Genomic DNA, 14,316 nt, shown 5'->3' with positions numbered 1-14,316 from the left:
ATCCATCAGAGGACTCACTATGTATGGCACCTATAGCCTTACTAAATGTAATTCTTAAATCACAAAACTTGAAAGTCAAAATACTCCTCGATTCATAGAAAATCAAGTAAAAGTCAAGTAAATGGAAAATCTTTTCAACAAATAGTGAGGCAACAATTGTATTATACATATATAGTCATATATATGTATGTACTCCATACTATTATTGGTTCCATTGACTATGACTATATATCCCATATATATATATGTATATGTGTGTGTGTATGTGTGTGTGTATATATATATGCTCAAAAGTGTGTGTGTATATATATATATATATATATATATATATATATATATATATATATTCAAAAAGAATGAACCTTGAGGGAGTAGAGCAAGCAAGATAACAGAATAGAAGCCTACACCATTTGCCAGCCCCAAGGAACATCTAAATTTAACAAATACCTGCACATAGAATAACACCGTCACAAGAACCAAAAATTGGGTGAGCACTCACAGTACTTGGCTGTAACTTCATACTGCAGAAAGAGACATTGGAAAGAATAGAAGAAACAGGGTTTTTTGTTTGTTTGTTTTGGAAACCAAGTCTCACTCTGTCACCCAGGCTGGAGGTGCAGTGAGTCGCACAGTCTTGGCTCACTGCAACCTCTGCCTCCCTGGTTCAAGGGATCCTCGTGTCTCAGCCCCCTGAGTAGCTGGGATTACAGGCATGTGCCACCACACCCGTGTAATTTTTGTATTTTTAGTAGAGACAAGGTTTCACCATGTTGGCCAGGCTAGTCTCTAACTCATGGCCTCAAGTGATGAGCTCACCTCAGCCTTCCAAAGTGCTGGGATTACAGGCATGGGCCATTGTGCCCAGCCTGGAGAGACAGTCTTGAATTCCCAACGCCATCCCTCACCCATCCCCATAGCGATCTGTGCACTTTAGGGAGGGAGGGTGGGGCAACTGGGGGACTTTACAATGAACTCAGTGTTGCCCTGTCACAGCAGAGAACAAAGCCATGCTGGGTTCAGGCAGTGTCTGTGCACAGAGGGGGCATTTGGACCAGACCTAGTCAGAGGGGAATCACCCATCCCAGCAGTCAGCAACTGAGTCTCTCAGCAAGCCTCGCCACTGTAAGCCAAAGTCCTCTGGGGTCCTAGGTAAACTTGAAAGGCAGCCTAGAACACAAGGTCTGCAATTCCTAGGTAACTTCCAGTGTCGGGCTGGGCTCAGAGCCATAGGACTAAGGTGGCAGGTGACCTAGGAAGACACTAGCCAGGGTAGCTACAGGAGTACTTGCACCTCCCCTTTCCCAGCCACAGGCAGTGTAGCTCACAGCAACAAAAGTCTTTCACTGTGAAGAGTAACAGTGACTTTGTCTTGCATTTCGGGTACCAGCTCAGCCACAATATGATAGGGCACTGTGCAGAGTCATGAATTCCCCATTCCAGGCCCTAGCTCTCAGACATTTCTAAACACACATCGGGCCAAAAGGGAGCCCACTATCTTGAAGAGAAGGACCCAGTCCTGGTAAGATTCATTACCTGCTGAATAAAGAACCCTTGGGCACTGGATAATCACCAGTAACACTGTGGGCCTTGGCCTCTGAGACGTGCTGACTACAAGTGTGACCCAGCACATTCCCAGCTGTGGTGACTACAGCAAAAATTTCCTCCTGTTTGAGAAAAGCAGGGGGAAAAGTAAAGGGGAGTTTGTCTTGCACCTTAGGTACCAGCTTGGCCACAGTGGGGTCAAGCAACAAGAAGGCTCTTGGGGTCTCTGAGTCCAGGCCTAGGCTCTTGGACAGCATTTCTGGACCTGCCCTGAGCCAAAGGGGAGCCCACTGCCCTGAGGGGTGAGTCCCAGGCCTGGCAGCACTCACCACAAGCTGACTCAAGAGCCCCTGTTCTTTAAGTGAACATCGGTGGTGGCCTGGAAAAACCTCCCATAGGCCAGTGGTGGTGGTGGCCACAGAGAGAGGCTCCTTTGCCTGTGGAAAGGGAAGGAAAGAGTGAGAAGGACTTTGTATTGTGGTTTGAGTGCCAGCTTAGTTGCAGTAAAATAGAATATTAGCAAATTTCTAAGGTTTTTGACTCTAATCCCTGGCTCCCAGACAATATCTCTGGACCTGCCTAGGGCCTGGGGGAACTCACTGCCCTGAAGGGAAGGACATAAATCTGGCTGGCTTTGCCACCTGCTGATCATAGAGCCCTATGGCCTTGCATGAACATAGGTGGTAGCCAGGTAGTGGTTCTAGCAGGCCTTGGGCAAGACCCAGTGCTGGGCTGGCTTCAGGCTTGACCCAGCACAGTTGCAGTGGTGGTGGCCACAAGAGTGCCTATATCACCACATCCCCAGTTCCAGGCTGCTCAGCAAAGAGGGAGAGAGACTCTCTTTCTTCTCTGAATTATCCAAGACCACCAAGGTGGTACCTCAATGAGTCTGTAAAAACTACAGCAATATTGGGCTTTGGGTCCAAGTCCCTTCAAATATCTGAAAAGCTTCCTTAAGAAGGATGGGCCCAAACAAGCCCAGACTGCAAAAGCTACAATAAGTATCTAAATCTTCAATGCCTGGATACCAAAGAACATCTGACAGCATCAACACCATCCAGGAAAACATGACCTCACCAAATGAACTAAACAGAGCACCAGGGACCAATCCTGGAGTAACAAAAGATATGAGACCTTTCAGACAGAGAATTTAAAATAGTTGTTTAGAGAAAACTGAAAAAAAAAAATTGAAGATAACAAAGAGAAGGGATTCAGAATTCCATCAGATAAATTTAACAAAGAGATTAAAATAATTAAAAAGAATCAAGCAGAAATTCTGGAGTTGAAAAATGCGATTGGCATACAGAAGAATGCATCAGAGACTTTTATAGCAGAGGTGATCAAGCAGAAGAATTACTGAGCTTGAAGACAGACTATTGGAAAATACACAGTCAGAGGAGACAAAAGAAAAAAGAATAAAGCACCCTAAAAGATCTAGGAAATAGCCTCAAAATGGCAAATCTAAGAGTTTTTTGCCTGCCAAGCACAGTGGCTCACGCCTGTAATCCCAGCACTTTAAGAGGCCGAAGCAGGTGGATCACTTGAGGTCATGAGTTTAAGACCAGCCTGGCCAATGTGGTGAAACCCCATCTCTACTAAAAATACAAAAATTAGCCAGGTGTTGTGGCGCACACCTATAATCCCAGCTACTCGGGAGGCTGAGGCAGGAGAATAGCTTGAACCTGAGAGGCAGAGGTTGCAATGAGCTGAGATTGTGCCACTCCATACCAGCTTGGGTGACAGAGCAAGACTCCACCTCAAAAAGAAAAAAAAAAAGAGTTTTTGGCCTTAAAAGAGGAGGAAGAAAGGGATAGGAAGTTTATTCAAAAGGATATCAGAGAATTTCCCAAACCTAGAGAAAGAAATCAAAATTCAAGTACAACAAAGTTATACAACAGCAAGCTGATGTAACTCAAAGATTACCTCAAGGCATTCAATAATGAAACTCTCAAAGGTCAAGGATAAAGGAAGGATTCTAAAAGCAGCAAGAGAAAAGAAACAAATAACATGTAATGGAGTTCCAATACATCTGGCAGCAGACTTTTCAATGGAAACCTTACAGGCCAGAAGAGAGTGACATGACATACTCAAAGTGCTGAAGGGAAAAAAAAACTTTTATCTTAGAATATTATATCTGATGAAAATATCCTTCAAGCATGAAGGAGAAATAAAGACCTTCCCAGACAAACAAAAGCTGAGGAATTTCATCACCACCAAACCTGTCCTACAAGAAAGGCTAAAGGAAGTTCTTCAATCAGAAAAGGATGTTAATGAGCGAAAAGAAATCATCTGAAGGAACAAAACTCACTGGTAATAGTAAGGACATAGAAAAACACAGACTATTATAACATTGTAGTTGTGGTGTGTAAACTACTCTTATCTTAAGTAGAAAGACTAAATGATGACCCAATCAAGAATAATAATTACAGTAACTTTTCAAGACATAGACAGTAAAATAAGACATAAAGAGAAACAACAAAAAGTTAAAAAGCAGGAAAATGAAATTAAATTGTAGAGTTTGTATTAGTTTTCTTTTTGTGTGTTTGTTTGGTTGGTTTTTTTATGTAATCAGTGTTAAGTTGCCATCTGTTTAAAATAGTGGGTTATAAAATAGTATTTGCAAGCCTCATGGTAACTTTAAAAGAAAAAGTATACAAACAGTGGATGCGCAAAAAACAAAAAGCAAGAAACTAAATCATACTACCAGAGAAAATCACCTTCACTAAAAAGAAGACATGAAGGAAGGAAAGAAGAAAAAGGAGACCACAAAACAATCAGAAAACAAATCACAAAATGGCAGGAGTAAGCCCCTAGTTGTCAATAATAACATTGAATGTAAATGGACTAAACTCTCTAATCAAAAGACATAAGTGGGTGGATGGATTTAAAAAACAAGACCCATTGATCTGTTGCCTACAAGAAACACATTTCACCTATAAAGATACACATAGACTGAAAATAAAGGTATGTAAAAAGATATTCCATGCCAATGGAAACCAAAAAAGAGCAGGGGCAGCTATATCTATATCAGACAAAATAGATTTCAAGACAAAAACTGTAAGAAGAGACAAAAAAAGGTCATTTGTAATGATAAAGGGGTCAGTCTAGCTACAGGATATAACAATTGTAAATATATGCACCCAACACTGAGGCACTCAGACATATAAAGCAAATATTTACATATTGCTTTATATAAAGCAAATATTTACATATTGCTTTATATAAAGCAAATATTTACATATTGCTTTATATAAAGCAAATATTTACATATTGCTTTATATAAAGCAAATATATGAACAGAACTCTGTATGCTCTCTTTAGCATATAGAGCTAAAGAGAGAGACAGATCTTAATATAATAATAGCTGGAGACTTCAACACCCCACTTTCAGCTTTGGACAGATCTTTCACACAGAAACTCAACAAAGAAACATTGGATGTCATCTGCACTGTAGACCAAATGGACCTAATAGATATTTACAGAACATTTTATCCAACAGCTGCAGAATACACATTCTTCTCTTTAGTACATGGATCATTCTCAAGGATAGAACAGATGTTAGGGCACAAAACAAGTCTTAAAACATTCAAAAAATGGGAATAATATCAAGTATCTTATCTTGATACAGAATTTCTCATAAAACGAGAAGTGAACAACAACAGGAATTTTTGAAACTATATAAACACATGGAAAGTAAGCAATATGTTCCTGAATGACCAGTGAGTCAATGAAATTAACAAGAAAATTGAAAAATTTTCTAAATGAAGGACAATGGCAGCACAACATACCAAAACCTATGGGCTACAATGAAAGCAGTACTAAGAGGGAAATGTATAGCTATAAGCGCCTATGTGACACTTAATATTGAGTGTCAACTTGACTGGATTGAAGGATGCAAAGTATTGTTCCTAGGTGTGTCTGTGAAGATGTTGCCAAAGGAGATTAACATTTGAGTCAGTGGACTAGGAGAGGCAGACCCACCCTCAATCTGGGTGGTCACCGTGTAATCAGCTGCCAGAGTGGCTAGAATAAACCAGGCAGAAGAGTGTGGAAAAGACTTGACTTGCTGAGTCTTCAAGCCTTCATCTTTTCCCCATGCTGGATGCTTCCTGTCCTCAAATATCAGACTCCAAGTTCTTCGGCTTTTGGACTCTTGGACTAACATCAGTGGTTTGCCAGGGTCTCTCAGGCCTTTGGCCACAGACTGAAGGCTGAACTGTTGGCTTCCCTACTTTTGAGGTTTTGGGACTTGGACGGGCTTCCCTGCTCCTCAGCTTGTAGATGGCCTATTATGGGACTTCATCTGTGATCATGTGAGTCAGTACTCCTAATAATACTCCTTTCACCTTCATGGGGAAAGGATTCCTTATTTAATAAATGGTGTTGGGGAAACTGGCTAGCCATATGCAGAAAACTGAAACTGGACCCCTTCCTTACACCTCATCCAAAAATTAACTCAAGATGGATTAAAGACTTAAATGTAAGACCTAAAACCATAAAAACCCTAGAAGAAAATCTAGGCAATACTATTCAGGACATAGGCATGGGCAAAGACTTCATGACTAAAACACCAAAAGCAATGGCAACAAAAGCCAAAATAGACAAATGGGATCTAATTAAACTAAAAAGCTTCTGCACAGCAAAAGAAACTATCATCAGAGTGAACAGGCAACCTAGAGAAAGGGGGGAAATTTTTGCAATCTATCCATCTGACAAACGGTTAATATCCAAAATCTACAAGGAACTTAAACAAATTTACAAGAAAAAAACAAACAACCCCATCAAAAAGTGGGTGAAGGATATGAACAGACACTTCTCAAAAGAAGACATTTATGCAGCCAACAAGCATATGAAAAAAAGCTCATCATCACTGGTCATTAGAGAAATGCAAATCAAAACCACAATGAGATATCATCTCACGCCAGTTAGAAGGGTGATCATTAAAAAGTCAGGGAACAATAGATGCTGGAGAGGATGTGGAGAAATAGGAACACTTTTACACTGTTGTTGGGAGTGTAAATTAGTTCAACCATTGTGGAAGACAGTGTGGCAATTTCTCAAGGATCTAGAACCAGAAATACCATTTGATCCAGCAGTCCCATTATTAGGTACATAGCCAAAGGATTATAAATCATTCTACTATAAAGACACATGCACATGTATGTTTATTGAAGCACTATTCACAATAGCAAAGACTTGGTACCAACCCAAATGTCCATCAATGATATACTGGATAAAGAAAATGTGGCACATATACACCATGGAATACTATGCAGCCACAAAAAAGAGTGAGTTCATGTCCTCTGCAGGGACATGGATGCAGCTGGAAGCCATCATTCTCAGCAAACTAACACAGGAATAGAAAACTGAACATCACATGTTCTCACTCATAAGTGGGAGTTGAACAATGAAAACACATGGACACAGGGAGGGGACCATCACACACCAGGGCCTGTCAGGGGGTGGAGGGTAAGGGGAGAGATAACATTAGGAGAAATACCTAATGTAGATGACGGGTTGATGGGTACAGCAAACCACCATGGCACCTGTATACCTAGGTAACAAACCTGCATGTTCTGCACGTGTATCCCAGAACTTAAAGTATAATAATAAAAAAAATCAACTTAGGCTCCTCAGAAATGAGGTGTTAAGTAGAGAATTTAAAAAAAAAAAAGAACAAAATTAGAGGAATCACATTACCTGACTTCAAATTATGCTACAGAGCTATAGTAACCAGAACAGCATGATACTGTCATAAAAATAGACACATAGACAAATGGAACAGAATAGAGAACCCAGAAACAAATCCACATGCCTATAGTGAACTCATTTTTGACAAAGGCACCAAGAACATACACTGGAGAAAAAACAGTCTCTTCAATAAATGGTGCTGGGAAAAATGGATATCCATATGCAGAAGAATAAAACTAGACCCCTACCTCTCACCATATACAAAAACCAAATCAAAATGGATTAAGAACTTAAATCTAAGACCTCAAACTACAAAATTACTGCAAGAAAACTTTGGGAAAAATCTCTAGGATATTGGCCTTGGAAAAATTTTTTGAACAATACCTCACAAGCACAGGCAACCAAAGCAAAAACAGACAGATGGGTTCACATCAAGTTTAAAAACTTCTGCAAAGCAAATAAAACAATCAACAAAGTGAAAAGACAGCCCACAAAACGAGGGAAAATATTTGCAAAGTGAAAAGACAAACCTACAAAATGGGAGAAAATATCTGGATAAATAACCAGAATATATAAAGAACTCAAACAACTCTATTGGAAAAAATCTAATAACCTGATTCGAAAATGGGTGAAATATTTGAATAGACATTTCTCAAAAGAAGACATACACATGACAATCAGTGCTCAACATCACTGATCATCAGAGAAAAGCAAATCAAAACTACAATGAGAATCATCTCACCCCAATTAAAATGGCTTATATCCTGGTATCAAAACAGACACATAGACCAATGAAACAAAATAGAGATCTCAGAAATAACCATCTGATCTTCAACAAACCTGACAAAAACAAGCAATGGCAAAAGGTCCTCCATTTAATAAATGGTGCTGGGAAAACTGGCTAGCCATATGCAAAAAACTGAAACTGGACCCCTTCCTTACACCTTATACAAAAATTAACTCAAGATGGACTAAAGACTTAAATGTAAAACCCAAAACCATAAAAACCCAAGAAAAAAATCTAGGCATTACTACTCAGTGAATAGGCATGGGCAAAGATTTTATGATGAAATCACCAAAAGCAATTGCAACAAAAGCTAAAATTGACAAATAGGATCTAATTAAACTAAAGAGCTTCTACACAGCGAAAGAAACTATCATCAGAGCAAACAGACAACCTACAGAATGGGAGAACATTTTTACAATCTACCCATCTGACAATGGTCTAATATCCAGAATGTACAAGGAACTTAAAAAAATTTACAAGAAAAAAACAAGCCCATCAAAAAATGGGCAAAGGACATGAACAGACACTTCTCAAAAGAAAACATTCATGTGGCCAACAAACATGAAGAAAAACTGGACATCACTGATCATTAGAGTAATGCAAATAAAAACCACAATGAGATGCCATCTCATGCCAGTCAGAATGGCGATTATTAAAAAGTCAAGAAACAACAGATACTGACAATGCTGTGGAGAAATAGAAATGCCCTTTTTATTGTTGGTGAGATTGTAAGTTAGTTCAACCACTGTGGAAGACAGTGTGGCGATTCCTCAAGGATCTAGAACCAGAAATACCATTTGACCCAGCAATCTCATTACTGGGTATATACCAAAAAGAATATAAATCATTCTATTATAAAGATACATGCACACATATGTTTACTGCAGCACTATTCACAATAGCAAAGACTTGGAACCAACCCAAATGCCCATCAATGATAGACTGGATAAAGAAAATGTGGTACATATACACCATGGAAGATTATGCAGCCATAAAAAGGAATGAGATCATGTCCTTTGCAGGGATATGGATGAAGCTGGAAGCCATCATTCTCAGCAAACTAAGACAGGAACAGAAAACAAAACACCACATGTTCTCACTTATAAGTGGGAGTTGAACAATGAGAACACATGGACACAGGGAGGAGAACAACTCACACTGGGGCATGTCAAGGGGCCAGGGGAAGGAAGAGCATCAGGACTAACAGCTAATGTATGCGGGGCTTAACACCTAGGTGATGGGTTGATAGGTGCAGCAAACCACCATGGCACACATTTACCTATGTAACAAACCTGCATGTTCAGCACACATATCCTGGAACCTAAAATTACATTAACTTTTTTTTAAAAAAGGCTTATATCCAAGACAGGCAATAACAAATTCTGGAAAGGATATGGAGAAAAGGAAACCCTCATACGCTGTTGGTGGGAACGTAAATTAGTACAACCACTATGAAGAACAATTTGGAGGTTCCTCAAAAAACTGAAAATATAGCTATCATATGATCCAGCAATTCCACTGCTGGGTATATACCCAAAAGAAAGGAAATCAGTACATTGATTTTCTCATACACTGTTGGTGGGAATGTAAATTAGTACAACCACTATGAAGAACAATTTAGAGGTTCCTCAAAAAACTGAAAATATAGCTACCATATGATCCAGCAATTCCACTGCTGGGTATATAACCAAAAGAAAGGAAATCAGTATACTGAAGAGGTATCTGCACTCCCATGTTTGTTGCAGTACTGTCCACAATAGCCAAGATTTGGAAGCAACCTAAGTGTCCATCAACAGATGAATGGATAAAGAAAATGTGGTACTTACACACAGTGGAATACTACTCGGCCATAAAAAAGAATAAGATTCTGTCAGTTGCAACAACATGGATGGAACTTCAGGTCACTATGTTAAGTGAAATAAGCTGGGCAAGGAAAGACAAACATCGCATATTCTCACTTATTTGTGGGATCTAAAAATCCAAAAAAATTGAACTCATGGTAACAGACAGTAGAAGGGTGGTTACCAGAGGCGGGGAAGGGGAGTGGGGAGTGGTGGGGAAGTGGAGATGGTTAATGGTCACCAAAAAAAATAGTTAGAAAGCATGAATAATACCTAATATTTGATAGCATAACATGGTGACTATAGTCAAAATAATTTAATGGTACATTTTAAAATAACTAAAAGAGTATACTTGGGTTGTTTGTAGCACAAAAAATAAATGCTTGAAGAATTGGATAATCCCATTTTCCATGATGTGATTATTAACATTGGATGCTTGTATCAAAATATGTCATGTCCCCCATAAATATATACACCCATGTACCCACAAAAATCAAAAATAAAAATTTGATTTTAAAAAAAGAATAAATCTTGACCTGTACCTTGAATCATATACAAAATTCAACTTAAATGGATCATAGACCTAAATGTAAAACCAACAACTAAACAACTTCTAGAAGGAAAGAGTCCTGGTGTGGTGGTGGCTCATGATTGTAATCCCAGCACTTTGGGAGGCCAAGGCAGGCAGATCACCTGAAGTCAGGAGTTCGAGACCAGCCTAGCCAACATATAGTGAAACCCCACTGCTACTAAAAAATACAAAAATTAGCTGGGTGTGGTGGTGCATACCTGTAGTCCCAGCTACTTGGGAAGCTGAGGCAGGAGAATGGCTTGAACCTGGGAGGCAGAGGTTGCAGTGAGCTGAGATCGCACCACTGCACTCCTGCCTGGGTGACAGAGCAAGACTCTGTCTCTCAAAAAAAAAAAAAAAAAGAAAGAAAGAAAGAAAAAAGAAAAGTCTTTGCAACCTTAGGTTAGGCAAATGTTGCTTATATAGCAAACGAAAAGCTCAAACCACAGAGTAAAAAAAGTATATTTTCTTTCAAAATTTAAAACTTCAGCTTTTTGAACTCTTACAACTTAACAATAAAAAGAGCTGGGCGTGATGGCACACACCTGTAGTCCCAGCTACTCTGGAAGCTTAGGCAGAAGATTCACTTAAAGACAAGAGTTTGAGGCTGCACTGAGCTAAAATTGTGAAACCGCTCTCCAGCCTGGGCAATGCAGCAAGACTTCATCTCTTAAAAAAATATATAATATAAAGAACCCAGCTTTGTAAAAGGACAAAGGATTTGAATAGACATTTCTCCGAGGAAAACATACATATGCTTTTGGCTAAGAAGACATGAAAAGATGTCCATAATCACTAGCACTAGGGAAATGCAAATTAAAACCACAACGAGATACCACTTCACATCCACTAGGATAGGCAGTATGAAAAGGACAGAGAATAAATAGTACTGGAAGTTCCTCAGAAAGTTAAGCAAAGAATTACTATGTGACCCAGCAACTCGATTCCAACGTATATAGTCAAAAGAAATAAAAACATATATCCACATAAAAACTTGCACATAAGCCCAGCGCATGGCTCACACCTGGAATCCCAGCACTTTGGGAGGCTGAGGTGGACAGATCACTTGAGGTCAGGAGTTTGAGGCCAGCCTGGCCAACATGGTGAAACCCCATCTCTACTAAAAATACAAAAATTAGCCAGGCATGGTGGCACATGCCTGTAATACCAGCTACTCAGGAGGCTGAGGCAGGAGAATCACTTGAACCCAGGAGGCAGAGGTTGCTGTGAGCCGAAATCACACCACTGCATTCCAGCCTGGGCAACAGAGCAAGGCTCGGTCTCAAAAACAAATAAACCCACAAGCTTGTTCACAAATGTTCATAGCAGCATTATGTATAATAGCCATGATCTAAATGTTCAAATGAATAATGAATAAACAAAATGTAATATATCCATGCAATAGAATATTACTGAGCTATAAAAAGGAATAAAGTTCTGATACCTGCTACAATTGGATGAACATTGAACACATTATAACAGAAACCAGAAACAAAGGCCACGTATTATATGATTTTATTTACATGAGATGTCCAGAACAGGCAAATCTATAGAAATACAAGGAAAATTAGTGGTTGCCAGGATCTAGGGAGAGGGGAGAGTAGGCAGTGACTGCTCATAGGTATGATGTTTCTTTTTGGAGTGACAAAAATGTTCTGGAATTAGATAATGGTGATTGCATTGCTTTGTGTATAGATAAAAACAACTAAATAGTACACTTTGAAAGGATGAATTTTATGTTCTGTGAATTATATCTCCTTTTTTTTTTTTAAAAAAAAGCAGATCTTCTAAATTGTCTGGTCTTTGAAATACATTAAGAAAAATGAAAAGATAAGCCAGAGAGTGGGAGGAAATGTTTTCAAATCATAGATCTGATCAAAGAAAGGTAACCAGAATATAAGTAAACTCTCAAAACTCAATGATCAGAAAACAATCCAATTTTCAAAAGCATAGAAAATTTGAACATTTTACCAAAAAAAGTTTAGAAAAAATGCTATCAGCACAGGAAAAAACACTCAACATCATTAAGAAAATATAAATTAAACTACAATAAGAGACCACTCACTACACACCTATTAGAATGTTTAAAACTGTGAGGGAAAATGGCAATATCAAATGTTAGCCAAAATGTGAATCAGCTGGAATGTTCATAGACTTCTGGTGGCAATGTAATATGGCATAACTAGTTTGGAAAACAGTTTGACAGCTTCTTAGAAAGTTAAACATACACTTACCACAGATGACCCGGACATTGCATTCCTAGGTATTGACACAAGAGAAATGAAAATATATGTCCACACGCAAACCTGTACACAAATGTTTACAACAGCATTATTCACTAAAAGTCAAAAACCAGAAACAAGCCAAATATCCATTAATCCATGAATGGATAAACAAATCTTTGTGATATAGTCATACAATGGAATACTACTCAGTAGTAAGAAGGAACAGTTATGCTATAGTAATCCACACAAACACATGCAACGTAGGTAAATCTCAAAGGCATTATACCAACTGTAAGAAGCCAGACACAAAAGAATATCAAGTGTATAATTTCATTTACCTGACATTCTGGAAAAACAAAACTCTAGACAGAACTCATATGAGTGGTTGCCAGGTGTTAGTAGTGACGGCAATTGTTGGGTACAAAAGGGCACAAGGGAACTCTTTTGGTTGGATGGAAATTGTTCTACATCTTCAATGTGGTGGTGGTTACACAACTGTAAACATTCGTCAAATTTCAGAGAACTATGTGCTTCTAAAGGTGATTCTTACCACTCCTATTCATCATAGTACTGAAAGTCCTTGCCAGGGCAATCAGCCATGAGAAAAAAATAAAAAGCATCCAAATATGAAAAGAAGAATTCAAACTATCTTTCTTTGCAGATGATAGGATTCTATTCATTGAAAAGCCTAAAGACTCTGCCAAAAAGCTCCTGGAACTGATAAATGACTTCAGTAAAGTTTCAGGATATAAAAATCAATGTACAAAAATCAGTAGCATTTCTTTACAGCAATAACATTTAAACGTTATTAGCTGGAGCTAAGAGCCAAATCAAGAATGCAATCCCGGCTGCGCGCGGTGGCTCATGCCTGTAATCCCAGCACTTTGCGAGGCTGAGGAGGGCAGACCACCTGAAGTCAGGAGTTTGAAACAAGCCTGTCTCTACTAAAAATATGAAAATTAGCTGGTGTGGTGGTGCGTGCCCGTAATTCCAACTACTCAGGAGGCCAAGGCATGGGAATCACTTGAACCCTAGAGGAGGAGTTGCAATGAGCAGAGATCATGCCACTGTACTTCAGTCTGGGTGACAGAGTAAGACTGTCCAAAAAAAAAGCAATCCCATTACAATAGCCACACAAAAAAATAGAATACCCAGGAATACATCTAACCAAGGAAGTGAAAGGTCTTTACAAGGAGAACTACAAAACACTGCTAAAAGAAATCACAGATGAGACAAACAAATGGAAAATATTCCGTGCTCATGGATTGCAAGAATCAGTATCATTAAAATGGCCTTATTATTGCCCAAAGCAATCTACAGATTCAATGCTATTTCTATCAAACTACCAAGGTTATTTTTCACAGAATTAGAAAAAACTATTCTAAAATTCATATGGAACCAAAAAAATAGCCTATATAACCAAAGCAATTCTAAGCAAAATGTACAAAGCCAGAAGCATCACATTAATCCACTTCAAACTATACTATAAGGCTACAGTAACCAAAACAACATGGTACTGGTACAAAAATAAACAGATAGGCCAATGGAACAGAAAAGAGAACTCAGAAATAAAGCCACACACCTACAGCCATCTAATCTTTGACAAAATCAACAAAAATAAGCAATGGGAAAAGAAGTCCCTATTCAATAAATGGTGGT

At 38.8% G+C, this 14,316-nt stretch overlaps 1 long non-coding RNA gene across 1 annotated transcript in view; it reads right to left on the bottom strand.

Moving 5' to 3' along the window:
- The window catches only part of LOC107985995 (uncharacterized), a 75,437-nt gene that overhangs the window by 31,450 nt on the left and 29,671 nt on the right, over window positions 1-14,316 (bottom strand). The gene's annotated exons all lie outside the window — the stretch shown is intronic.

This window comes from Homo sapiens, chromosome 2 (assembly GCF_000001405.40).
Source record: "Homo sapiens chromosome 2, GRCh38.p14 Primary Assembly".
Lineage (NCBI taxonomy): Eukaryota > Metazoa > Chordata > Mammalia > Primates > Hominidae > Homo > Homo sapiens.
The sequence above is the reverse complement of the archived record's forward strand: the minus strand, read 5'-3'. Positions and strand labels throughout refer to the sequence as shown.